Source organism: Homo sapiens, chromosome 2 (assembly GCF_000001405.40).
Source record: "Homo sapiens chromosome 2, GRCh38.p14 Primary Assembly".
Lineage (NCBI taxonomy): Eukaryota > Metazoa > Chordata > Mammalia > Primates > Hominidae > Homo > Homo sapiens.
In genome coordinates, this window is record NC_000002.12 from 128,001,138 (window position 1) to 128,029,027 (window position 27,890).

Sequence of the window (27,890 nt, forward strand, 5' to 3'; positions counted from 1 at the left end):
CAGGATTGGAAGGGAAATCAACAGAGGATGCCAAATTAATTGGTAGCAAGCTACTGAAATGGCAACACTGGCAAGAAAATTTGACAGTATAACAAAGTTGGCTATTCAAATCAGAGGGGAGGCCACAGGCGGCAGCTCACACCAGTAATCCCAGCAGGAGGACCGCTTAAGCCTGGGAGGCCAAGGCTAAAGTGAGCTCTCCAGCCTGGGCGACAGAGTGAGACCCTGTCTCCAATAAAATAAAATGCAAAGAATCACTTCAGGTGACATTCAAACACATTGCCACTCTGGTTAGTGGGATCTAGCTGGAGGACAAAAAGAACTGTGAAGTTAGTTACTCGGTATTCTTATTGTTAGTAGTAATCTACAAATAGCAAGAGGTTAATTTGTGTCAGATGGACAAATGATACAGGTGCCTCTTTTTTAATCTTTTACACTGTATTTTTACTGTACCTTTTCTGTATTTAGATATACAAATACCATAGTGTTACAACTGCCTACAGTATTCAGTACAGTAACAGGCTGTATAGGTCTACAAACTAGGAGCAATAGTTATAGCATCATAGCCTCGGTGTGTAGTAGGTAACACCATCTAGGTTTGTGTAAGTATACTCTTATGATGTTTGCATGTCAAGACTGCCTAACTATTCATTTCTCAGACTGTATCCCCATCATTAAGTAATGAATGAGTGTAAAACCTCAGAAAGCAAAAAAAAACCAAAACAAAACTGTAATGTTAAATTTCATCTGTAAATACCAATATGCGTCCATTACCAGAGAAGGAGTGAAAAAAACTTTTTTTTTTTTTGAGATGGAGTCTCACTCTGTCACTAGGCTGGAGTGCAATGGCATGATCTCAGCTGACTGCAACCTCCACCTCCCAGGCAGAGGCAATTCTCCTGCCTTAGCCTCCTGAGTAGCTGGGACTACAGGCGCGTGCCACAATGCCTGGCTAATTTTTGTATTTTTAGTAGAGACGTGGTTTCACAATGTTGGCCAAGATGGTCTTGATCTCTTGATCCGCCCGCCCTGGCCTCCCAAAGTGCTGGGATTATAGGCATGAGCCAATGTGCCCGGCCAAAACTTTTTAATTAACATAAGATTTAAAATAACATAAGATTTTAAAACAGGTGGTGGCTCACGTCTGTAATCCTAGCATTTTGGGAGGCTGAGGCAAGTGGATCAAGTTCAAGACCAGCCTGGCCAACATGGTAAAACCCCATCTCTACTAAAAATACAAAATTAACCGGGTGCGGTGGTACGTGCCTGTAGTCCCAACTACTCCAGAGGCTGAGGGAGGAGAATCACTTGAACCTGGGAGGCAGAGGTTGCAGTGAGCCAAGATTGTACCACTGCACTCTAGCCTGGGTGACAGCGCAAGAGTCTGTCTCAAAAAAATAAATAAAAAAATAAAGAGGAAAATATCAGCAGGAAGACATGACTATCTTTACTATACTGAGTACCTCTGTCCCCAGAAAGAGCCCAAAAGCAATGACACACCAGAAACAATGAACACTTCTAACACCCAGAACTTGGGTGTTCTACTCTCCACTAAAAAGAACCAAGGAGAATTGGCTTATTTGAAAACTAAAACAAAAAACAAAAAACAAACAAAAAAAACAGGAGAAAGCATGAGACATCGTGTATCAAAAACAATAAAGTACTCAAAGGCTAACGGGAGTCATCAAAAGGAAACTTGGGCCAGGCCTGGTACAGTGGCTCACGCTTGTAATCCCAGCAGCACTTTGGGAGGCCAAGGCAGGCAGATTGCTTGAGTCCAGGAGTTCAAGACTGGCGTAGGCAACATGGCGAAATTCCACCTCTACTAAAAATATAAAAATTAGCTGGGCATGGCACCACACACCTGTAGTCTCAGCTACTTGGGAGGCCGAAGTGGGAGGATCGCTTGAGAGCCCAGGAGGCAGAGGTTACAGTGAGCTGAGACTGTGCCACTGCACTCCAGCCTGGGCGACACATGAGAGGGTCTCAAAAAAAAAAAGACACTTGAGCCAGCAAAAAGGGGTTCTCACTAGCCCAATTTGGGGCACTGGGAGCAAAAGAAAGAGACTTTGATTAAAATATTTTGAGGCTGGGCGCAGTGGCTCACATCTGTAAGCCCTAGCACTTTGGGAGCTGAGGCAGGAGGACTGCTTGAGCCCAGGAATTTGAGACCAGCCTGAGCAACATGGCAAGGCCCAGTCTCTATGAAAAATAAAACAACTAACCAGGCATCTTGGCATACACCTATGGTCCCAGGTACTCAGGAGGCTGAGGTGGGAGGACAGCTTGAAGCCCAGAGGTTAAGGTTGCAGTGAGCTGTGACTGCGCCACTGCAACCTTGACTTCTGGGGTTCAAGGTCTCCTCCCACCTCAGCCTCCTGAGTACCTGGGACTACAGGTGGGCGTCAAGATGTGATTCAGCCTGGGTGACAGAGTGAGACGTTGTCTCAAAAACAAAAACAAATGACAACAAAAAAAATCCAGTCTGAATATTTAACATCGACAGGTCCATAGTGACTCACCCACACGTACCAAAAACAGTCAGAGGGAGTAAGTAAGGTCATTCAGAAAGTGCTCCCTAATCTGTTGTCTAATCACCATATTACAGGTTGAGTATACCTTATCTAAAACGTTTGAGATGAGAAGTGTTTGAGATTTTGGAATTATATACTTACAGACTCAGCATCCCCAATCCAAAAAGCAGAAATGCTTCAAGGAACATTTCCTTTGAGTGTCATGGCAGTGCTCAGTTTCAGATTTTGGCATATTACGGATTTTGGTTTAGGGATACCCAACTGTGTAGTTCTCCCACAGATCAGCTTTTTTTTTTTTTTTTTTTTTTTTTTTTTTTTGTTGACAGCCTGAAAGGCAACTCCAAGGATAGAGCCCCAATTCAGTGATCTGACATCTACAGAAAATACAGGGGTTAAATGATAAATGGACTTGTGATTATCCTCCAGTGTTCAGATGGGTCCTTGTATGACTAGCTTATTTGGAGGACAAGGGGATTGTAGGCAGAGACTGCCAGTGTGGTATTTTCTCCTTCTCCTCTCAGAGGATAGTAAGGAAATAGTAAGGAAAACAAAAAAGAGAAATACAGTATCCTCCTTTCGCAAAATTAGGAGACATCTGAAATCTCAAACCACAGGACAGAAGAACTGCCAAAGGTAGGGACAACCAAACAGGGACTCAGGAGCCAGTGAAAGGAGGATTGCTTTCTTTCCTTTTTTTTTTTTTTTTTTTTTTTTTTTAAAGCGATAGATTCTCACTATGTTGCTCAGGCTGGTCTTGAATTCCTAGGCTCAGACAATCCTCCTGCCTCAGCCTCCCAAAGTGTACGATTACAGACATGAGCCACCCTGCCCAGCCTGAAGAGAGAATTTCTGGGGCTATAATTCTGGGGATAAAATCCAGTAAGGAAGTATAATACTCCAAAATGAGGAGCATAAACTGACAGAGAAAACCAAAATCTTTTGTGTAACAGTGGAAATGAAGCTGGCAGTGAAGGAGCATTTGGACCAGTTCCAAGGGTTAAAAAGCAAAGGATCTAGGGTTAAACCAGGAATCAGACACAGACACAGATAAGCCCCGTCTGTGGGGAATAGTGTGCGGGGGACCTAGGGAAGAGAGGCTTTGCCATTTTAAGTGGTCTATCTGCACTGACAGGAGTGAAGTAATGGCCAACAAAATTCAAACACAGGACACTGAGTCATTTGGAAAATTTATCCAAACCCAGTATATAGTCCAGGCTACAATAAGAACCAATTACAAATGGGGATCCAGAATAAAGCCAATCCAATCAAAGATGAATACTCAGAAAGGATCCAAAACAGGATCTATTTAAAGATGCTAAAAGACAAAAGGTGGAACAAAACACACCAGAAGTGCTTTCACTACGCAGATGAACACTGTACCATGAATTTAAAAACTTAATGAAGTAACTGCTTCTATGAAATGGAAACACAAAGCAAAGACATAAGAACTCAGTGGAAATGATGAGAGAACAACAGAAGAAGACAAAATATATGGGCAGAGCTCCAGAGAGAAACAGAAGGCAACTGCTCAGCAGTTTCAAGAATGAAGGCAAAATTAGAAGTGGAACATGAGAGACAATGCTGAAAATGCAGTCAAGGGCGGAGAAGAGTATGAAAGCAACATTAAAGGGAACAGTTAAAAAAATTACATAGGAGTGCAAAAAGATTCAACACTTGGGAATCACCTGTAATCCCAACACTCTGGAAGGCTGAGGTGGGTAAATCACCTGAGGTCAGGAGTTCGAGACCAGCCTGGCCAACATGGCAAACCCCCATCTACTAAAAATACAAAAATTAGCCAGGGGTGGTGGTGGGTGTCTGTAATCCCAGCTACTCGGAAGACTGAGGCAAGAGAATGGCTTGAACCCGGGGGGTGGAGACTGCAGTGAGCTGAGACCGCGCCACTGAACTCCAGCCTGAGCAAGACTAGGTCTCAAAAGAAAAAAAAACAAACAAACTGTTCATATAGTTTTTCTTTCTTTTTTTTTTTTTTGAGACAGTGTCTCGCTCTGTTGCCCAGGCTGGAGCGCAGTGGCGCGATCTTGGCTCACTGCAACCTCCGCCTCCCAGGTTCAAGCGATTCTCCCGCCTCAGCTTCCCAAGTAGCTGGGATTACAGGCATCCGGCCCCATGCCCAGCTGACAGACAGGGTTTCACCATGTTGGCCAGGCTGGTCTCAAACTCCTGACCTCAAGTGATCTGCCTGCCTCAGCCTCCCAGAGTGCTGGGATTAGAGGCATGAGCCACCATGCCTGGCCAATGAATAGTTTTATGCTACAGATTGAAAAGGCACACCATGTTTAGAACAAAACCATAAATAATGGTCATTACAAAATAAATGCTATGAAATTTGCTGATATTCAACGAAAAAGAATCAGGCAATAAGGCAAAAAGACTAAGGCCTTTGTAAGCGGTTAAAAAAAAAAAAAACAGACTCCAGTAACATCCAGATCTAGAAGACGGGAAAAATTACCCATCAAGTAATCATGGAAAGAATATAGAAACAATAAAACACTCAATCAGCCAAACTATTGCCTAAGTATAAATGGGAAATGATTCTCAGCACGTAAACTTTCAAAATATTGGTGCTTTAAATTTTGCCCTTTTTGAAGAAAGTGATAGAAAATAAATTTCATTCAACCAAGTAATGACTGAAAAGACAAGGGTCAAAGAACTGACAGACTGAATGTATTTAGTAGAAAAATTAAGATATGACTTACATTTTTCTGGAATTTTACTTTTTTTCTATACCTTGAACCAATTTCATTATCACTGATTTATCTGGCCCCTTTGAAGGTTTGGTAGAATTCTATGAAACCAAGGCTGGGTGTGGTGGCTCACAATTGTAATCCCAGCACTTTGGGAGGCTGAGGCAGATGGATCGCTTGAGCCCAGGAGTTTGACACCAGCCTGGGCAACATAGGGAGACCCTGTCTCTACAAAACATTTTAAAATTAGCCAGGCATGGTGCATGGTGGCACGTGCCCGTAGTCCCAGCTTTGGGAGGCTGAGGTAGAAGGATCACTTGGGCCTAGGAGGTCAAGGCTGCAGTGAGCCGTGATCAAGCCACTGTTCTCCAACCTGGCTGGCGGAGCAAGACGTTGTCTCAAAAAAGAATTCTATGAAACCAGCTGGATCTGGTGCTTTTGTGAGAGATAGTGCTTAAAATTTTTTTCTATTTCTTCTAAGGAAATTGGTCTGTTGAAGAAGTTCTATCTTAATTCCAAAAAAGTTAGACATTAGGAATTTATTGTAGTTGTAGATATAAAGAGAAAAATCATCTGATTAGGGTTTTTGTCTGTTTCATTCACTACTTGTAGTATATTGCTAGTGTTATATGAGTGAATGCTAAAAATGCATTCAACAAAATTCAATATCCAGGTTTTATTAAAACAATCAACACAATGGAAAAGATACTTTGACAAAACGATTAAAAATAAAAAGCCTACCCCTAGTTTTCATCATACAGTTGGCCCTCAGTTTCATAGGTGCCACATCTATGGATTCAACCAAGCATGGATTGAAAATATTCAAAGGGGAAAACAATTTCCCCAAATTCCAAAAAGCAAAACTTGCATTAGCTGAGCACCAAGTACTATACGGAATCCACATGAATGAAGTGATGTGCAGGCATCATAATAGGCACTCCAAGTAACCTGGAGATGATTTAGAGTACATGGGAGGAGGTGCGTAGGTTATACGCAAATACTATGCTACTTTATATGAAGGAACTTGAGCGTCCTTGGATTTCAGCATCTGCAGGGGCTCCTGGAGCCAAGACCCCATAGATAGAGATGACTGTATATCCATTTATACCTTGTGAATTTCCTCATACCATCTGAATACATTAACTTTTATAAAGTTAAAATGAGCAACAACAAGTAGTCTATTTTATGTTGGGTAGTTCTGTCTCTTTGTACCTCAGGCAACATATTTATTAATAACTGCCACAAAGTAAAGTATCCCTTTTATTGAAGAGAGAACAAAGGATCAGGGGAGTTGAAAACCTGCTTAATGTCACACAAGTAGATAACAGAGCTAATGGCTTAAGATAAGTTCCAGGTATTGCTGTTCATTTAAACATAATTTTCTTCAGAGTTCTGTTCTAGGCCCTCTTCTCACTCTCTAGTACCCCTGGATAGACACCTGAAGGCTTTCATTGTGGCCCACACATTGATCACTCCTAAACCCATTATCTCTAGCACAGACATCTCTTCAACCACATACTGACAACAGCCACTTGGTTGTTACACAGATAAACTCAGTATCCCAAAGCTCAAGCTTTTCTAAAACCTGCTTTCCTTCCCTTGTTTTGATTTTCATTTACTCGGACAAGTAAGGAGGAAATCAAAGAGGCATCTCCGATTCCTCTTTCTTCCTCACCACTCTGCCCTGCTTTTAGCTGACAGGTCCTAGTGGTGCCCCGCCAGCTTCTAACAATTCCTCTCTCCACACCTACTATCCTTGCTTTGATTCAGTGAATCTCTTCTTGTCTGCACTATTGCCAAAGGCTCCCTTCCCTCAACATAACCAATGGCAAGAATCAACTGCCCTCCCTAACCTCCCTGTAATGTGACTTGGAGATCATGAGGAAAAACAGCATGATGTCATCCCTGATTGTGTCACTCACAAAAAGCCTTTAAGATCATCCCTCATCAACCACACTTTATCCCTGTATGGCTCTACAAATCTTTCTTGCTTCTTTTTTTTCAGAGTCAGGATCTCGCTCTGTTGCCCAGACTAGAGAGTAGTGGCACAATCATAGCTCCTAGTAATCTCAAACTCCTGTGGTCACATGATCCTCCCACTTCCGTCTCCAAGTACCTAGGGCTATAGGTACATGCCACCACGCTTACCTTTTTTTTTTTTTTTTTTAATTTGTTGAAATGGGATCTTGGTATGTTGCTGGGGCTGGTCTTGAATTCCTGGCCTCAAGTGATTCTCCCACCTTGGCCTCCAAAAGCACTGGGGTTACGGGCACGAGCCACTGCACCTAGCCTAAATCCTTTTCCTGTTTGTTTTTTTTTTGGTGGAGATGGGGTCTCGCTCTGTTGCCCCAGCTGGAATGCAGTGACATGATCACAGCTCACTATAGACTCAATCTCCAGGGCTCAAGTCATCCTCCCACCTCAGCTTCCCATGTAGCTGGGACCATAGGTACACACCACCATGCCTGGCTACTTTTTTATTTTTTAAAGAGATGGGGTCTCCCTATGTTGCCCAGGCTGGTCTCAAACTCCTGGACTCCGGTGATCCTCCTGCCTCAGCCTCCCAAAGTGCTGAGATTACATGCATGAGCCATTATATCTTGCCATCACAATCTTAAAATGCCTAAAATCAAAGTATAAAACTCCTTTCCTAAACCTCCCACTGTCCTCCACCCTGTTAGGTATACAGGCCAACTAGCACTGGCAAATAATCGTGACTCCTCTCCTTCTTTCACACTCCCACACCCCCACCGCCTGCCCCAGTGATTCCTCAGAAATCTTCTTGACTCTATCCTTCAAAATCTACCCAGGGCCAGGTGTGGTGGCTGGCTCATGCCTATAATCCCAGCACTTAGGGCGATGCGAGGATCACTTGAGCCCAGGAGTTCACGACCAACCTGGGCAACAAAGTGAGAACCTGTCTCTACAAGAAAATAAAAAAATTAGTTAGGCATGGTGGTGCACATCTGGAGTTCCAGCTACTTGGGAGGCTGAGGCAAGAGGATCACTTGAGCCTGAGAGTTTGAGGCTGCAGTGAGCCATGATCGTGCCACTATACTCCAGCCTGGGTGACAGAGTGAGACCCTGTCTCCAAAAAATAATAATAATCTACCCAGAATCTAATCATGTCTTTCTACATCCATTTTCATCTCTCCTACATGCTGGCTATACCCTTCTACCCAACTCTGCTTCTAACTTGGCCTCTCCAGAGCCTATTCTATCCAGCAACCAGGCTGAACCAACTGAAACTTCAGATCATTGCATCGGTCTGCTAAAAACTCCACTAAGGCTTTCCATCATGCCCCAGCCGAGTCCATGTCCTTAGTGTGGCTCCTAAGGGCCTATGTGATCTGGAGACCCTGCTACCTCCCCAAATCTAACTCTTGCCACCTTGGCCTCACTGGTGGTCCTTATAAGTGGCAAACACAATCCTGTCTCAGAGCCTTTGCGCTCACTGTTCCCACTGCCTAGAATACTCTTCTCTCCGATAACCATATAGCTCACTCACTTCATTATATCTTTTCATTTTCTACTGAAATGTATTCTTATCAACAAAGCCCTCTCCGACCACATTACATGAAACTGTAAGTCCCCTGCACCACCCACCCTGTCACTCCCAATCCCTTTTACCCTTATTTTTTTCCAAAGCACTTTTCACCATCTAAAAAGCTACATATTTATCGCGTCTCCAGCCTGTAAAAACAGAAGCTCTGTGTGGGCAGCAATTTCTTTGTTCACAGCTTTAGCCCCAGGATTTAGAACACTACATAGCTCATTATAAAAAAAAAAAGCCACTCAATAAATATTTACTTAAATGAAGGAACGAAAGAAAAAAGAGTGAAGGAGGAGGATGGCAGGAAGGTTCAAACTTCATACTCCCCATGTATACCTAAGTGCTGAATCAGTAGCATGCGCCGCTGTCGTAGTGATGACTGGAGACTGAGCTCTGGTGGCTGAGACAGTTGCTACCACAGCAGGAGGGATGGCATTGGAGGTGGTCACAGGTGGCCGAGACTACCAAAAGAGAAAAAACAGTTCATTTAAAACAAAAATAAAATAGAGGAAGTCAAATACTAAATGTGTAATTTGAAACTTGAGCCTACAGATAAGCATGTTTCTGCCCAAGTAAAAATAAATTCTCACCATTCCAATTAAGGAATTCTCTTTTCAGATAGGTTGTTATAAGACCAAGAGCCAGGCCGGGCACGGTGGCTCACGCCTGTAATTCCCAGCACTTTGGGAGGCTGAGGTGGGCAGATCAACTGAGATCAGGAGTTAAAAGACCAGCCTGGCTAACACAGTAAAACCCTGTCTTGACTAAAAATACAAAAAAAATTAGCCGGGTGTGGTGGCACGCGCCTGTAATCCCAGCTACTCAGGAGGTTGAGGCAGGAGAATCGCTTGAACCTGGGAGGCAGAGGTTGCAGTGAGCCAAGACCGCACCATTGCGCTCCAGCTTGAGCAACAAGAGAGAAACTGTCTTGAAAAAATAGAAAAGAAAAAAAAAAAAGACTAAGAGTCAGAATTATTAAAAAAAAAAAATCCCTTAAGATACCACTGACAAGTGTTTTGAAAAAAAAAAAAAAATCCCATTTTGATTGAACAGTACATGAGTCCCTCCTGTACAAATGTGATTGGAGTCAAAATTCTGCCCTACTATTGGTACCAATGGGATCTCACCCTTCAATCTAGAGTTGCCACAGGTCTGTTGTTGGTCCTGGTGTAGACATTTTACGCTGCCATCCAACCCAGCACCTCCACAGAGGGCCTACTCAGCTGCTGAATAGAGCTGTTGGCTCTCAGGCCATCTACGTTAGTGAGTACAAGGGCAACTCAAGGTAACAGTATTCTTTTCTAGGTAATCGTTCAGGGTGCCCATATCCTTTCTGGATGTTTTCACATGGACAGAGTGCCCTTATCACACTTACGTGTGAAATCTTCCTCTAAAAAATAAGCTCCACACTGGGCTTCATCCACATACCCACCATTATTCTTCGAATCACCTGAGTTCTGATTCTTCCCTTGCTCTTAACCCTGAAACATGCATCTAAATGGCCGAGCTCTGCCCATTCCTCATCCTTGCTTTTCATCTACAGCCCTTTTACCTGCCGCTTCTACCATGTGCAGGTGCGTGTCTCACACTAGGGCTACAGCACCAGCTTCCTCACTCGGGAGCTCCTTGTCTTGGTTCTCGTCTTCCTCCAACCCTTCATATGTATCACATATACTACTAGAGGCCTAATACTCCTCCGACTCTGTTTTCTTGGCCAGAAAAGTATTTATCTTGAAAGCTGTAGGCTAGACAGATACTACCCAGTATCATAATCAAGACTTCCTTATTATCTTAAACCCAGTTGTTTCATACATCTGTCTGTCCCCTGAAAGTGCTTAAGGGGACAGACCTCCTGTATGTGATTCAGCTAGATTAATCTTATCTTTCTTATTTTTTGTGAGATGGAGTCTCACTCTCTCGTCCCAGCTAGAGTGCAGTGGCACGATCTTGGCTCACTGCAACCTCTGCCTCTCGGACTCAAGTGATTCTCCCACCTCAGCCTCCCAGGTAGCTGGGATTACAGGCACGCACCACCATGCCCAGCTAATTTTTTGGCATTTTAGTAGAGACAGGGTTTCACCATGTTGCCCAAGGCGGTTTCAAACTCCTGATCTCAGACAATCCGCCCGCCTTGGCCTCCCAAAATGCTGGGAATTACAGGTGTGAGCCACTGCGCCTGGCCTAATCTCATCTTTCAACAGTATTACTTTAATGATACACAGAGCCATTGTGTTAAAAAGACAAAAATGATTTTTGGCCGGGCACAGTAGCTCACGCCTGTAATCCTAGCACTTCAGGAGGCCGAGGCAGGCAGATCACTTGAGGTCAGGAGTTCGAGACCAGCCTGGCCAACAGGGTGAAATCCTGTCTCTACTAAAAGTATAAAAATTAGCCGGGCATGGTGGTGCACACCTGTAGTCCCAAGTACTTGGAAGGCTGAGGCAGGAGAATCGCTTGAACCCAGGAAGCAGAGGTTGCAGTGAGCTGGGATCGCACCACTGCACTTCAGCCTGGGCAACAGAGTGAGACTGTCTCAAAAAACAAAAACAAATAAACAAAAAAACGCAGTGGCTCTCTACTGTATATAAAGTCTAGTTTATACTCCATATCCTAGAGAACCCAATTTATAGATACTATATTTCCTGCAAATATATTATACTTCAGTAATAATGAGGTCATAGATTTCCTTAAGAAAAAGCTGAATGGCATGGACCATGTTCTTGGAATATACATAGATATACACCTAACTTTTAGGAGTCCACAGATCCCCCCAATCCAAATTAAAATCCCTCAATCCTAGCTAGCCTTTACTAACTGCTGTCTACAACCATCACTCCCTTCCTTGCCACTGTTCATTTCCCCCTTCACTTCCTCTTCACTTCTCTGATTCCTCGTTAGCACAGCCTTTCCAACAGGAAGGCTTCCCACCATCTCTCCTCTGCATTCTTACAGCTTGCCACATGACACTGTGCATCTTTCAAACTTCCCTATGTCTTGGCAACTAGATGGAAAGTCCCTGAGGTCAAGGATGTGCCTAGTGCCTGGCAGAATGAATAACTCCAATGAGGCCCTTAATGCACCCCAGGCTCCGACGTGCCTGGATTGGTTGGTGAATGATGTGCTGTACTGCTGGCTGAGCAGTAGCAGCATTTGGCAGCTGTGAGGTCGGCCTCAGGACTGTGGTTACTTTAGAACTGGACATCACAGCAGCAGCAGCTGCACCTGAAAAAAAAAAAGTGTTTATTATATTTATTCTAGTTATATTCCCTGGGAAAATAATCAGTATGTTTCCCAAAACTCAGATAGCATGTCAATATCGAGCTGAAGTATGGTATGTATACTTCCCATTTCATCACAGAGAAAACAAAGAAAATGTGTATTCAAGAGATTTAATAATAATTTATATTGCCTCTTCACAGACAACCTTAAGTGAAACTAGCTGCTGTTTTTTGTTTCTGTTAACTGCAAGTGTGCACAGTGGTAAAGCACACAGGGAACAGCAGTGTGATGCCACTGCCTCAGCTCTGACGAGGCTCGGACACTTTGCCTTCCAGTCTTTGTTCCATTAGAGCAGACGTCGACATTGCCAAAGGGACACATTATGAACCTTAACCTTAAACCTAACCCTGCACTTTTCACCCTGCAGACCCCCATAAGGGCCTGTGAACCACATTTGGAGAACTGCTGAGTTATGCTATAACCAAGCAAACCTGGTCTTGCGTTTGCTAACTTGATTTTGCCAACAATCTCCAATTGTTGTAAAGTCTCCAATAAAAGGTAAAAATTTCTAGTCAAAATTCATTTATTACCTCACAACCTATTAGAACTTAAGGGTAAAAATAAATTAATCTTAGCCATGTGGTGGCTCACACCTGTAGTCCCAGCCACTCAGGAGGCTAAAGTGGGAAGATCGCTTGTGCCCCAGAAATCTGAAACCAGCCTGGGTAACCCAGTGAGGCCCCATCTCAAAAAATAATTATCATCATCATTTTATTGTTACATAAGTTAAAAAACTGAGTAAAGATCATCACTGAACTTTAAAAATATTCAGTATTAATATTTGTGACTTATGTATTAAAAATAAAGACCATGTTGCAGATAAGCAGTCTAATAATAAAGACCATGTTGAGATTATCAAAGCTTGGGCAGTTCCTCAATATATAGGACAATTTTAGACCATATTAAACACTTTAATTGCATAAATATACACACTTGTAATACAACTATAATAAGCACATATTAAACCATGCTAAAAACATGGATTGCTCTAAGTTTATTTCTACTGTCTTGCGATTTTTTTTCTTTTTCTTGAGACAGGTTCTCGCTCTGTCACCCAGGCTGGAGTGCAGCGGCGCAATCTCAACTCATTTCAACCTCTGCCTCCCGAGCTCAAGCCATCCTCCCATCTCAGCCTCCTGAGTGCCATCCTCCCATCTCAGCCTCCTGAGTGCCATCCTCCTATCTCAGCCTCCTGAGTGCCATCCTCCCATCTCAGCCTCCTGAGTGCCATCCTCCCATCTCAGCCTCCTGAGTAGATGGGACTACAGACGCATGCCACCACACCTGGCTAATTTTTTGTATTTTTGTAGAGACAGGGTTTCGCCATGTTGCCCAGGCTGGTCTCAAATTCCTGGACTCAAGTGAACCTACCACCTCAGCCTCCCAAAGTGTTGGGTTTATAGACATGAACCGCAGCACCTGGCCTTTTTTTCTTTTTAAATAAAAGAGGTTTATTTGGTTCACGGTTCTGCAGACTGTTGTTCTGCAACTTTAACAAGCTGATTCTAGATACATTCTGTGTTACGTATTTTACCAAATGTATATCTACTACTACATTTTGAGAGTTTGAACAAAACTTGCAAGTCGTTACCTCGAGGTAAATGAGAAGCTCCAATGTGAAGAGGGGGCCCAGGAGCATTGCTGCGGATGATAGACATTTGCACATTTGTAGTCATGATGTGATGCAGGTTACTGGGATGGCCCTGAAAGAAAGAGGATAGAACGTTATTTTTACATGTTTGCTCTTAGCCATTGCCTCTAGGAAGTCACCTGCCTCCAAATGTGGGTCAGGTTGTTTTTTAGATAGTGAGTATCCCAAGAGAAAGGGCTAAGGACATTCAGCTTGAGCTACTTTTACATGCCATACCGTACAATGAACTGTGCTAACAGGCATGTGAGAAGTATGAGGACCCCACAACTGCTGCAGGCCCACATAATTACAGATAATATACTTCGATATCTACGTTTAGAAACTCTCATCTGCGATATTACCTTTCACACTTGTTTTCCCTGTTCTGGCCAAATGCTTATTTTTTTTCCCATTCTCACTATTTCCTTTACATACCACTGCATCCATCCATTCTTTAAGCTTTTTTGTTTCTAAGTAAATGTCAGTTGGTATCCAACAGGTGCTCCCTACCAGTTCTTCAGCTCAACCCTGAAATGTCCCTTACATTCTCCCAAACCACAGAGTTCAGGGCTTCTCAGCTAAGGGTTCTGGTACTTCTGAGAGTACTCAGCAGTATGACAAAAGGAAAAAACACAGTACACCTCTTTGGGATATAAATTTTTCTTGAAAATGTGAAGGGAAAGTTTTTAGATTTAGTTTTTTTCCCCAGGTAAAAAATGTAAAATATTTAATTAATCAGGTACACAGCAGAGTAGGATTGCAAAATTTCACAAAAAAACCTTAAAACAGAAGACTTCAGAATAAATGTTCGCAACTAAGGCTGGGTGCGGTGGCTCATGCCTGTAATCCCAGCACTTTGGGAGGCCGAGGCGGGCAGATCATTTGAGGTCAGGAGTTGGAGACCAGCCTGGCCAACATGGTGAAACCCCGTCTCTATTAAAATAAAAAAATTAGCTGGGGGTGGTGGTGCCCGCTTGTAATCCTAGCTACTCGGGAGGCTGAGGCAAGAGAATGGCTCGAACACGGGACGTGGACGTTGCTGTGAGCCAAGACTGCACCACTACACTCCAGCTTGGGTGACACCGTGAGATTCTGTCTCAAAAAAAAAAAAAAAAAAGTTTGGAACTAGAGAGCTGCTTGAGGTAACCTATCCCAAGAGATGCACATCTGCTCTCCTCAGAGAAACCACAGAGCAGCACTGCCTACCCCCGGAAGGCAGTTCTTGACGCTAAAACCAAACACGAACCGGACTCCGGACTCCTCAAGGACACGGACTGTTTTATCTAGATTTATATATCACACTAGGGTCGAATCGAGCATCTAGTAGCTGCTCAATAAATTCTAGCTAAATGACCACTATGGACACTGGCTTCTACTCCCTTTACAGTTATCCTTCTCTCTCAAACCTACTATCTTCACTTGCAGGTATCAGTGACTGTTTGATCTTTTTTTATTACCGTGACTAATGTACTGCTAGCATTCAATAAATCATGATCAACAGTTTGGCATTTCAGTTTGAAAATCAGCAAATTAAAAGGAAGAAAAACCTGTTGTCCACTGATTGTTGCCACAGGAATGGCTGAAGCTTGAGGGATGCTACTCTCCATGGTAACGGTAACCTGCCCTGGAACCTTGGGGGGAAGTGACAGGGTAGAAGGTGGAGCAGGAGCAATGGGACGGCTAGGCATGGTGGGCTTCGGGGGCGGCTGCAAACAGAAAACCACACAAAACATATCAATGGCCTCATACTGGTGATGCATTTCAATCCACAATTAAGAGTGCACAAATCGAACCTGGAAAGTGCCAGGAAAGATGCCGTAAGCTTTATACATTTTATCTATTATCATCACAGTGTTTCCACTGAAGTACTAGCATTTCTATTTCACAGATAAAGAAACATACAAAGCAAGGCTAACTGACTTGCTCAAAGCCACACACACAGTAAGAAGTAGAACTGGGAATAAAGCCCAGAGCTGTATGGCTCACAGCCCACACCCTTTCTTCTACATGATGCTGCCTCCCAAGTTTGGGTGGATTGAACAAAACTCCCAGTAACTGAAACACAACCCCAAGGTAATACACAGGCAATATTCTCAGAAACCCCCAAATTAACCAGTTATTAAAACAAACCTTAAAGAAGAGTGCCACTCCACTTGGTCCCATGGTACTGGGTTATCTGAACTTATAACATTACTGTCAGCTGGGCACAGTGGCTCACGCCTGTAATCCCAGCAATCTGGGAAGCTAAGGCGGGCAGACCACTTGAGGCCAGGAGTTTGAGACCAGCCTGGCCGACATGGTGAAACGCCATCTCTACTAAAAATACAAAAATTAGCCAGGCGTAGTGACGTGCGCCTGTAATACCAGCTACTTGGGAGGCTGAGGCTGCAGAACCGCTTGAACCTTGGAGGTGGAAGTTGCAGTGAGCCAAGATCGCACCACTGCACTCCAGCCTGGATGACAGAGAAAGACTCCGTCTCAAATAAAAACAGAAACAAAACATTAATGTCATTAAGCCCCCACTGCTAAATCTGACTGGCTTAAAAAAAAAAGAGGGTCCCTTCAAGATTGTATCTAACTTAACATGCCCATAAGTTGAATAATATCAGTATCAAAATGGATAACAGCAAAGATCCTATGATGCCAACTGCCCAGCAGCACAAGACAAGGCACTGCAGAAAATCAGGGCTGAGTTACAGAAAGGAGCTGAACTCATATGTCATAAAGAAAAAATGAAATGTGATCCTAAGATACAGCCTAAGATTTTATACAAATTGTTACAAACATTAGCCAGTCTCGAGCTCTGGTTCAGTGTGAAGTTTTAACCCTCTCCATTACCTTCATAAGTCCCTCCGAAAATGAAAGTGGCACTGCTGGCGTCAGGTGTGCTGGCGGGGCTGTCACTGCAACAGGTGTGGCTGATGCGACAGCATGGTGTGTCGACAACATCTGCACCTGTGGATAGGGCCTTACCACAACAGGCTCTTGCTTCTCCTCCCGGGACTGGAGGGAGCTGCTGGAACTCATGTGCTCCCTGGCACTGACTTCAGAATCTCGACCAGATTCATCATTGACTAGTAAAGACATTAAGAGTGAGACAGTATGTCACAGTCTCCCAGTGTAAGATAGCAGCACAGACAAGAGTGGTACCTGAAGTTAAATCTCAGGATTGACAAAGTGGCCATTTCCTTGTGATGTTTTCTTAACAAGGTCAATATGGGCACTGGATTCTCCTGATGGACATCAGACAAAAGAGCCACAACTGTGGAATATAGAATTTATTCTGGATATTGTAGCCTTATGAACAAACTACCTGAAAATCATCTAAAATGAGCTGAAATAGTTAAAAGTACAATACAGGATGTAAGACAATTTCATTTAAAACATCCTCTTAGAAAGTTATAAAAGCCTGACATTAAAAAGATATTTTATGCTGGCCAACATGGCAAAACCCTATCTCTACTAAAAATACAAAAAAAAAAAAAAAAAACAAACCAAAAACCAAAAACCACGTTTTTTTGTAATCCCAGCTACTTGGGAGGCTAAGGTGGGAGGATCACCTGAGCCCAAAAGGCAGAGGTTGCAGTGAGCCAAGATTCCGTCACTGCACTCTAGCCTGGGCGAGAGAGGAAGATTGTCTCCAAAAAAAAAAAAAAAAAAAAAAAGGATGGCTGGTGCAGTGGCTTGCACCTGCAATCCTAGCATTTTGAGAGGCCAAGGCAAACAGATCCCTTGAACCCAGGAGTTCAAGACCAGCCTTGGCAACACAGTAAGACTCCATCTCTGCAAAAAATTTTAAAATTAAATGGGCATGGTGGCATGCACCCGTAATCCCAGCTATATTGGAGGCAGAGGGAGGAGGATCACTTAACCCTGGGAGGTCAAGGCTGCAGTGAGCCAAGCCATGATTGTGCCACTGCACTCCAGCTTGGATGACACAGTGAGACTTTGTCTCAAAAAAAAAAAAAAAAGGTGGTTGGGGGCTGAGCACAGCCTGTAATCCTAGCACTTTGGGAAACCAAGGCAGGTGGATCATTTGAAGTCAGGAGTTCCAGGCCAGCCTGACCAACGTGGTGAAACCCCGTCTCTACTAAAAATACAAAAAAATTAGCCGGGCGTGGTGGTACACACCTATAATCTCAGCTACTAGGGAAGATGAGGCAGGAGAATCACTTGAACCCAGGAGATGGGAGGCTGCAGTGAGCTGAGATTGCGCCACTGCACTCCTACCTGGGTAACAAGAGTGAGGCTCCATCTCAAAAAAAAGAAAAAAAAAAGATATTTTAAGTACGGTTCCTAACTTTAAGAACATATAATTTTTCAAAACTGAGGGACAGAGATAGGAGAGATATTTTCCAATGTATGCTCTTTTTCTTTTGGTGTTTTGGTCTACCAGAAGACAATCTATTTAAAAATTTTTTTTAATTAAAAAAAATTTTTTTTTTGAGACAAGGTCTCACTCTGTCTCCCAGGCTGTAACGAAGTCACAGGATATCAGCTCACTGCAGCTTCAAACTCTTGGACTCAAGTGAGCCTCTGCCTCCGCTGCCCAAGCAGCTAAGACTACAGGCACATGCCACCACACCTGGCTAATTCTTTTATTTTTTTATGAAGAAAGAGTTCCACTATGTTGCCTGGTCTGGTCTTGAATACCTGGGATCGAGTGTTCCTCCCACCTCTGGCCTCCCAAAGTGCTGAGATTACAGGTGTGAGCCACTGCACCTGGCCTATTTAAAAATTAAGTATTTAAAAATTCAGTGGAGGCCGGGCGTGGTGGTTCACGCCTGTAATCCCAGCACTTTGGGAGGCCAAGGTGGGGAGATCACTTGAGGTCAGGAGTTCGAGATCAGCCTGTCCAACATGGTGAAACCCTGTCTCTACTAAAAATACAAAAAAATAGCCAGGTGTGATGGTGCACACCTGTAATCCCAGATACTCAGGAGGCTGAGGCCAGAGAATTGCTTGAGCCCGGGAGGTGGAGGTTGGGAGATCCTGCCACTGCACTCCAGCCTGGGGGACAAGAGCAAAACTCTGTGTCAAAAAAAAAAAATTAAGTGGAAAAAAATCAGAGAACAATACTGATGTAATAAAGGAAGAGCTTGTGAAAATATTAACTCATATTTGTCTATAATTTTTCCAAAATAATTTTTTTTCTGAGCATAAAGATAATATTTACTTATGTAGAGAATTTAAATTATTTGGAGTACCATAAACAAAGTAATGTTGCCCCCAAACTTACCCCACAAAGGCACCAACACTTAAAGTTTTGGTGACAGTTCTCGCTTCTTTTAAATTTTGGGTTTTTATTCATTTGACTTTTTTTTCTTGAAGTATGATTTTCATAAAGATAAGTGCACAAATGTTAGCTGTGCAGCTCAATGGACTTTCACAAACTGAATAAACCTGAGTAAATAGCACCCAGCTCAAGATAGAAAACATTATTGGTCCCCCAGAGACCCTTAGTTTGGCCCTATTCTAGCCACTATCCTCCGAAGGAAATCAATCTTCTACCTTGTAACACTATAGATTAGTATTGTCTGTTTTTTAACTTTACGTAAACAGACTTATAACAAATACACCCTATTGTGCTTTGCCTCTTTCACTTACAGGTATGAGATTCATTCACATTAGTGTACACAGCTGTAGATCTTTCATTCTCAATGCTGTATATAGTACGACACACGAGTAACGTACAAATTATCCATTTTACTCTTAAGAGGCACTTTAGTTTTCAGTTTGTTCCTATTTTGAATAGTGCTAGTAATGTTCTTGTACGTGTCTTTTGGTGAACATATGTACCACTTCTACTCAATATATACCTAGGATTAGAACTACTGGGTAGAGAATACTGCATCATTTTTTAAAGGTGAAATGGGGCCGGGCACAGTGGCTCATGTCTATAATCCCAGCACTTTGGGAGGCTGAGGCAGGTGGATCACCTGAGGTCAGGAGTTCAAGACCATCATCCAACATGGTGAAACCCCGTCTCCACAAAAATACAAAAATTAGCTGGGCATGATGGCGGTTGCCTGTAATCCCACCTACTCGGGAGGCTGAGGCGGAAGAATCACTTGAACCCAGGAGGCAGAGGTTGCAGCGAGCCAAGACTGTGCACTCCAGCCTGGGCAACGAAGCAAGACTCTGTCTCAAAAAAAAAGTGAAATGGGATTCTATTGTATAGATGTACTATAGCTTTTAAAATCACTGTATCATTGATGGGCTTTTAGGTTATTTCCAAATTTTTGCTTTTATCAACAATCTTGTCCAATGATCTCTTCAGGAAAAAATTCCTAAAAGTACAAGTGCTGGATGAAAAGAGTGATGTGGCCGGGCGTGGTGGCTCAAGCCTGTAATCCCAGCACTTTGGGAGGCCAAGGCGGGCGGATCACAAAGTCAGGAGTTTGAGACCAGCCTGGACAATATGGTGAAACCCTGTCTCTACTAAAAATACAAAAATTAGCTGGGCATGGTGGCGGGCGCCTATAGTCCCAGCTACTTGGGAGGCCGAGGCAGCAGAATTGCTTGAACCCGGGAGGTGGAGGTTGCAGTGAGTCGAGATCGCGCCACTGCACTACAGCCTGGGCGACAGAACAAGACTCCATCTCAAAAAAAAAAAAAAACAAAAAAACAGAGAGGAAAGAAAAGACTGATATACGTTTTCTTTTTCACTATATATTGACTTTTCTCCCAGGTCATTCAGAATTTTTAAAATTTTGATCTATAAAACCTCTTTATTGGGGAATAGATTACATAGAATACCACCACTGGTTTACAAGAAAAGTTCAATAATTTTTTTACAAATATCCTCAGCAACACCAAGGAGCAGAATGGTTGGGTCAAATGGTAAGTATATGTTTAACTTTGCCGAAGTCATTTCCAAAGTGATTGTAGCATTGCCTGTTCCCATTAGCAGTATACAAGCTGCTCCTCTTCCTTACTCATTGCTTGATATACAGCCATTCTAGTGGGTTGTAGTGTGTGTCTCACTGTAGTTTTAATTAGCATTTCCATGATGACTAGTAATGTTGAACATCTTTTTATGTGATCCCAGCCCATTCATATATATCTTCTTTAGTGAAGTGCATGTTTATCTTTTGTCCATTTTAATCAATTAGCTTTACTGAGGTACAATTTACATATAAAATTCACTAATTCTTTGTGTAACATTAGATAAGTGTTCGCAAAAGTATACAGCGGTATAACACAATCATGATACAGATCATTTCCTGTTACTCCAGTGAGTTCATTCACACCCCTTTGCAGTCAATTCCCTCCCCACAACCTCTATTCTCCAGAAACCACTGATCTGCTTTCTGTCACTATGGCATAGTCTTTTCTGGAATTTCACATAACACAATCATACCATCTGTAGTCCTATGTATCTGGATTCTCTCCTTAGTGTAATGTTACTGAGGGTTATCCATAATGTTGTGTATACTGGTAGTCTGGTCCTTTTTATTGCCAAGTAGCATTCCACTGCACGGATGGACACACAACAATTTGCTTATCCTGTCACCATCTGATAGACATTTGGTGAGAACCCTGTTTTGGCTATTATGAATACAGTTTCTACGAACATGTGAATATAAGTCCTTGTATAAACATATATTTTCATTTACCTTTGATAAATACCTATGGAATGAGATTGCTCAGTGGTGTGGTAAGTGTATATTTAATTTTATAAGATATTGCCAAATTGTTTCTTGAAGTGGCTAGCCATTTTGCATTCCCAACAATAAAGTATGAGTTCTATTTGCGCTACAACCATTCCAACACTTGGTATTGTCAGTCTTTGTAATTTCAGTCTTTCTACTGGATGTGCAGTAGTTTCTCACAGTGGTTTTAATGTGCACTGCCCTGAGGATTAATAATGGTGAGCATCTTCTCATGTGCTTCTTTGGCACTTATCTAGCTCTTCTGTACTCAAATATTTTCCCGTCTTAAAAAAAATCAGGTTGTTTGTCTTTTTACTACTGAGTTATAAGTTCTTGTTTTTTTTTTTCCTGGAGACAAGATCTCACTCCGTCACCCAGGCTGGGGTGCATTGGTAAGATCTCAGGTCACTGCAACCTCCGCTTCCCAGGCTCAAGCGATCCTCCCACCTCAGCCTCTCAAGTAGCTGGGACTATAGGCATGAGCCATCACACCTGGCTAATTTTTTTTTTTTTTTGAGACGGAATCTTGCTTTGTTGCCCAGGCTGAAGTGCAGTGGCGCTATCTTGGCTCACTGCAAGCTCTGCCTCCCAAAGTTCAAGTGACTGTCCTGCCTCAGCCTCCCGATTAGCCGGGATTACCGGCACCCACCACCACGCCCAGCTAATTTTTGTATTTTTAGTAGAGACAGGTTTCACCATGTTGGCCAAGCTGGTCTCGAACTCCTGGCCTCAGGTGATCTGCCCACCTCAGCCTTCCAAAATGCTAGGATTACAGGCATGAGCCACTGTACAATTAGCCTGGCCTCGGCTAATTTTTGTATTTGCTGTAGAAACGGGGATTTGCCATGTTGCCCAGGCTTATCTCAAACTCCTGAGCTCAAAGCGATCCACCTGCCTTGGCCTCCCATGGTGCTGGGATAACAGGCATGAGCCTACTGCACACAGCCTTTATTCCCCCATAATGATGTTATGATCTTCCAGCACTATTTTACTGAAAAGACCATCAGGCGCAGTGGCTCATGCCTGTAATCTCAGCACTTTGGGAGGCTGAGGCGGGCAGATCAAGAGGTCAGGAGATCGAGACTATCCTGGCTAACACAGTGAAACACCGTCTCTACTAAAAAATACAAAAAATTAGCCGGGCACGGTGGTGGGCGCCTGTAGTCCCAGCTACTCAGGAGGCTGAGGCAGAATGGTGTGAACCTGGGAGGCAGAGCTTGCAGTGAGCCGAGATCATGCTACTGCACTCCAGCCTGGGAGACAGAGTGAGACTCCGTCTCAGAAAAAAAGAAGACTATCATTTCCCTATTGAATTACTTAGGAACTTTTATCAAAAATCAATTGGCTATATATATCTGGTTCTATTTCTAGATTCTCTACCTGAGTTGTTATGGAAGATAGAGTCTTCTGTTATTCTAGAGAATAATAATATTCTCTAGAATATTCTAGAGAAAATAACATCTAAGTTGAAACTTGAAAAAAGAAGGAATTAGCCAAATAAGTAAGTATATGGAAAGAAACAAGGAAGACTATGGCAAAAGGAAAAGAATGTGCAAAGTCCCAAAGTCGTGAAATTGGGAATTTTTTAATCATTTATTTAGAAATATGAGTAGATACCATCGAGCAGGAGTCATAAGTAGCTTAAAGTCACTTCAAGTCTAAAGAGAACTAAAATAAATTTATAACAAAAACTAAGTTGGCGGCCACCCAAGTGGCTCACACCTGTAATCCCAGAATTTTGGGAGGCCTAGGCGGGAGGATTCCTTGAGGCCAGGAGTTTGAGACAAGCCTGGTCAACATAGCAAGACTCCATCTCCATTGGAAAAAAAAAAAATTAGGTTGGCAGGAGGAAGGCTAAATAGTAAGAAATGAGGCTGGAACATTAGACAAGGGCCATAGCTCATAAGAAAACGCAGAGCAATTAAAGATGCTTCCAGCTCAGCACAGTGACTCACACCTGTGATCCTAACACTTTGGGAGGCTGAGAACGGAGGATTACTTGAGTCCAGGAGTTTGAGACCAGCTTCGGCAACATTGTGAGATCCCCTCTTTACAAAAAAATTTAAAATTAGCTGAACATGTGGCTGGGTGTGGTGGCTCATGCCTGTAATCCCAGCACTTTGGGAGGCCAAGGAGGGTGGATCACTTGAAGTCTGGAGTCCGGAGTCCGAGATCAGCCTGGCCAACATGGTGAAACCCTGTCTCTACTAAAAATGCGAAAAAAAAAAAAAAAATTACCCAGGCATGGTAGCGCATGCCTGTAATCCCAGCTACTCAGAGGCTGAGGCACAAGAATCACTTAAACCCAGGAGGCAGAGACTGCAGTGAGCTGAGATCGCACCACTGCACTCCAGCCTGGGCCACAGAGTGACACTCTGTCTCAAAAAAATTAAAAAAATAAAAAATAAAATAAAATTAGCTGGGGAGCCCAAAAGATCGAGGCTGCAGTGAGCTGTGATTATGCCACTGTACTGCCGCTTGAGTGACAGAGTGAGACCCTATTGCGCAAAAAAAAAAAAAAAAAAGCCTCAGCTACTGGTTTGAGCAATGAGTAGACAGTGGTATCATTTACCATAAGGAACACCAGAATCCAGTGGTGAAGAAAAAGGAATAGAAAAGCATTTATTTCACTTTGCAATGTCATATATTTACTTAATACATAGAGAAAAAGAGTATTTGAAGGAATTCCTCAACTTCAGCACTGCTGACTGGACTGGATACTTCTCTGTTGTGGGGGGCTTCCCATTACCTTGCAGGATGTTAAGCAGTATCCCTGGCCTCTACCTATCAGATGCCAATAGTACTCTTTAGTTGTGACAACCAAACTGTCTTTAGATATTGCCAAGTACTCCCCTGGAGGAAAAATCACCTCCCCAAACACCTGTCACTGAGAACCACTAATTTCTACCACTCAAAGGGTATAAGACTAAAAACCAAGTTTTATCTATGTGTATACAATCAGCCCTCTGTATCCATGGGTTCCCTGATGTGAATTCAACCAACTTTGGATGTTAAATATTCAGGGGGGGAAAAAAACCCTGCTTGCATCTGTACTAAGCACATACAGACTTTTTTCTCTTGTCATTATTCCCTTAGCAATACAGTATAACAACTATTTACATACCATTTACATTGTAGGAGGTATTACAAGTAATCTAGAGATGATTTAAAATATACTGGAGGATAGGTATAGGTAATATGCAAACACTATACCATTTTACATCAGAAAGTGGAGCATCATGGATTTTGGTATCTAAGGTGGGTCCTGGAAACAATCCCCCACAGACACCATAGGGAAACCGCATATCCTTTGTTTTCCACTTCTTTTCCTAGATAATAAACCCCTAAAAGACAAGATCTGTTCCTTAAACACCTCTGGGCTCCCTCACAGCACTAATGCTATACTCCTGGACATTAATTAAACAAGAATATATTAATGCATTTCAAAAACAGTTCTTACAGGCACGCTTTGCTATAAGTTGCATGTGTACTCTATGTGAATGAAGTGGTTAAAACAGGAAGGAAAAAAAGCCTTGTTTAAATTAGAATAGTAATATACCCTTTCTTCAAATTCAAGAAACAAGAATTTACTAAAATCCTAGAAGAATCTGCTAATTTTTAAGTTAGAAAACTGGTAATATTCTTAAAGTAGGAAAAAATATATTAGAATATTACATATCTCACCTGTAGCAGCTGGGTTTATCAATCCAGCAGAACCACTGTTTGCAATCTGAGAAGGGGCCTGGCTCAGCCCGGTAGAAGGGGCTCCTAACCGAGGAAACTGTTGAGAACTCATTTCCACCTGTAGTACATACAGTTATATGGTTATTACTAGATTCTGAGATCTGAATCAATACTGAGAAATTAAAGCATCTTTAGTACCTATGAGATAGTCCCTTGGAAAAGCAAATGCTGCATCATTTATTTAAAAACAATAACTTGGGATCAATATAAATGCAGACATTATCTAAACTACCTAAGTTTTCTACAAATATTGTTTATACGGAGCTGGCGGGTACTATGACCCTCCATAAATACTTGTGGATTGCTATGCTAAAAAAATCACCATTGAATCCTGTACAAGAGTCACATGACAGGTATTACCACAATGCATGTGTATTTCTCTGTGTAAAGTTTTATGGAAAATGGCATGTCTCTTTGAAACACTCAAATCTCACACCAAGGTGAACAGAACTGTGATTAGTATGTCATAGGAACATTCGGAGGAAGATATCCAGCCCTAAGAAAAGATCCGATATCTTACATCCAGACCCGATGCAAAAGGAATTCTCCAATGCTTTTCGGCAAAGGCCTCCATTTACGGATTTCCTTTTCCTTCTCTTCCACAGATCCCCTCACAGAGCCAGAGGACCCTACACCTTCTCCATCTTCCCTAAAATCGCCCCCCACTTTTCCCTCAGGAGCCAAGCGATCTCCCGATTCGCCCGCAACCCCACCCCACCGCGAAGCCCCCGCTGAGACCGGAGGACGCCGGTTTCCAGACACCTCGGAGTGTGAGACCCCCGTCTCCGGGGTGGGGGTGCGGACGGGCGATCTGGGGACCCGACCACAAGACGAGCACTGTGCCTCTTTACCTGTAGCCGCCGCCCGCCGCCCGCACCGCCCGCTTCTATCTCGCCGGCCTGGGGGTGCCGCGGAGGGCCCATCTCGGCGGCGGCGATGTGCTCGGCGGGCGCGGGGAGGGATCGCGGCGGCGGCGCCCGGGGCCCGCTGCTGTCCAGCCCCGCTGGCCCCACTCACCCCCGCCACCCGGCCGCCGCTGTGCTCGCAGTCCTCTTCCCCCGAACCTGCCCCTGCCTCCCCCGCCCGCCCATTGGCCCCACGCCCGACGCGTCAGTGGAGGCCCAGGACCAATCCACAGCGACCTGCACGTTCAGAGCCCGCCCCACCCTCCCGCCGACTGCCAGCCAATCAGGCGCGAGCCTGGCCGGGGCAGCCCAAACCCCTCGAGGCTGAGCCAATGGCAGAGGAAGACAGGCGCCCCCGGCGAAGGGGGCGGGGAGCGGGGAGGCCCCGCCTCAGCCAGGGTCTGAAAGCGGCGGGCGCAGGGCCCGGATGTGGAGAGTCACTTTAAACTGCTCCAGGAGCCAAACTCCCTGGGCCGGCCGCCCGCCCGCCCGCCCGCCCGCGCTCCCCCGGCCGCTCTGCTTCCCCGCCAAGGCCCACGTCCGCCACGCCCCCACGCCCGGGTCAGCCCACCCCTCCCGGTGCCTCTCCCTTCCTCGCCACAGGACACCCAGCCCCTGTCGCCGGCCCAACCGCCGTGACCAGCTCGCGAAAGAGCCGCGGTCCGAGCCGCAGGAGACGAGGATCCTCTGCCCTTCCCCGGGGACGCGCAACGGGACGGACGCTGCAGCCCGGCTCAGCCGCCCCGCCCCCTCGTCTCCTCCCCTTCCCTCCCGGGCGCCCGTCCCGCCATTACCTGGGTGCTGCGCCCAGTGGCCGCCGCGCCGCCTTGAGCTCGCTCCCGCGCGCTCTCCGTCTGTGGGGCCGACGTCCCCAGGCTCCGGACCCGCAGCCACCGCCGGGGAGCTAGCACTCTGCCCCCCACCCCTCACTCCAGCGCCGCTGCTTCCGCCGCCGTAACGAGCCTCCCGTCTATTGGCTGGCGCAGGCCCCGCCCCCTGCCGAGTCAGCCAGTCGCCGGTGGTCGTGAGCGGGAGAGCGGACGGGCCCGCCCCTCTGAGCCGCGGCGTCCTGTGGGAAATGTAGTCGCCGGAGTCAGGAGGGCGGGCCGCGAAGGAGGTGGAGAGCGCCGGGGCGGGGCCGCAGGCGACCCGGCCAGGGCAACACACCCCTTTGCTGTCTGAAGTCGGTTCTGCCTTTTCTCTTGGCTAAGTGAGAAGACAGTGGATCCCACCCTATGCCTTAACCTGAGGGCACTGGGTTTCATTTTCCCCGCGGGGAGGCGCGGCGCGGGAAAGGGTAATGGAGGCCAACTGCGGCGGCCAAGGGATCCGCGGGCCGGGCCAGTGTCGTGACGGTGCCCGCCTCCCTATGCCGCGAGTGGGACTCGGTGTCCCCACCGGGAACCGCGGTCGGCACAGCCTACGCGCGGCGGGAGCCGCCAGGCGCAGCGCGGGCGCGGCTCTGTGAAAGCAGGCCGGCAGGGCGCAGGGCTCTGGGCGGCCGGGGCGCACCTGCGCGCGCTTTCCGGATTATAAAGGAGCTGAAGGGGGCAGTTTTATTTTGTCATTTTGCTTGGGGTTCAGGGTTGGAGTTTATGCACCTGTAGAAGACTTAGCCATATCTTTTGAGGCCACATTTGTGTCTGATAAGAGATTAAGTCTCCCTCTTCCCTTACCAGATGGTAATTTAGGCCTGGAGTTTTGTGATTAGTTAGGAAATAAATGGGGCTCAAACCCCCCTCTTCCTATCATGCACAGCTGTGTAAGACAACTGCTTGGTTAGAAGAGAGTAGCTCCTGGCTATAGCCCAGGGATGAGTCTCAGATACTCCTCCTCTTCAAGCCACTTTCCTTTTCCACCTTCATGCCTTCATTCTCAAACT

General features: G+C 44.7%; 1 protein-coding gene across 20 annotated transcripts in view, besides 4 other annotated features; it reads right to left on the reverse strand.

Moving 5' to 3' along the window:
- Positions 1-26,922, reverse strand: part of SAP130 (Sin3A associated protein 130) — an 86,838-nt gene extending 59,916 nt beyond the window's left edge. For 7 of the 20 annotated variants that reach the window (XM_047445826.1, XM_047445825.1, NM_001330299.2 and 4 more), the window contains exons 1-7: positions 26,803-26,922; positions 25,044-25,161; positions 16,543-16,778; positions 15,252-15,410; positions 13,666-13,777; positions 11,893-12,017; positions 9,132-9,256 (exon numbers count right to left, since the gene is read on the reverse strand). In XM_047445826.1, the coding sequence (XP_047301782.1) occupies positions 9,132-9,256; positions 11,893-12,017; positions 13,666-13,777; positions 15,252-15,410; positions 16,543-16,778; positions 25,044-25,155 (869 nt within the window). In that variant the 5' untranslated portion in view covers positions 25,156-25,161; positions 26,803-26,922. Of the gene's footprint in view, positions 1-9,131; positions 9,257-11,892; positions 12,018-13,665; positions 13,778-15,251; positions 15,411-16,542; positions 16,779-25,043; positions 25,162-25,954; positions 26,170-26,802 lie in introns of those variants that run through there. The other 13 variants (XM_047445818.1, XM_047445822.1, XM_005263767.4 and 10 more) reach the window with 2 other exon arrangements.
- Positions 25,900-26,189: a silencer, noted in NCBI's record as "silent region_11942". NCBI's record gives its function as "represses an Ori minimal core promoter by ATAC-STARR-seq in GM12878 lymphoblastoid cells {active_cell/tissue: GM12878}" and the evidence as "EXISTENCE:reporter gene assay evidence [ECO:0000049][PMID:35858748]".
- Positions 26,250-26,589: a silencer, noted in NCBI's record as "silent region_11943". NCBI's record gives its function as "represses an Ori minimal core promoter by ATAC-STARR-seq in GM12878 lymphoblastoid cells {active_cell/tissue: GM12878}" and the evidence as "EXISTENCE:reporter gene assay evidence [ECO:0000049][PMID:35858748]".
- Positions 26,690-27,209: a silencer, noted in NCBI's record as "silent region_11944". NCBI's record gives its function as "represses an Ori minimal core promoter by ATAC-STARR-seq in GM12878 lymphoblastoid cells {active_cell/tissue: GM12878}" and the evidence as "EXISTENCE:reporter gene assay evidence [ECO:0000049][PMID:35858748]".
- Positions 27,460-27,609: a silencer, noted in NCBI's record as "silent region_11945". NCBI's record gives its function as "represses an Ori minimal core promoter by ATAC-STARR-seq in GM12878 lymphoblastoid cells {active_cell/tissue: GM12878}" and the evidence as "EXISTENCE:reporter gene assay evidence [ECO:0000049][PMID:35858748]".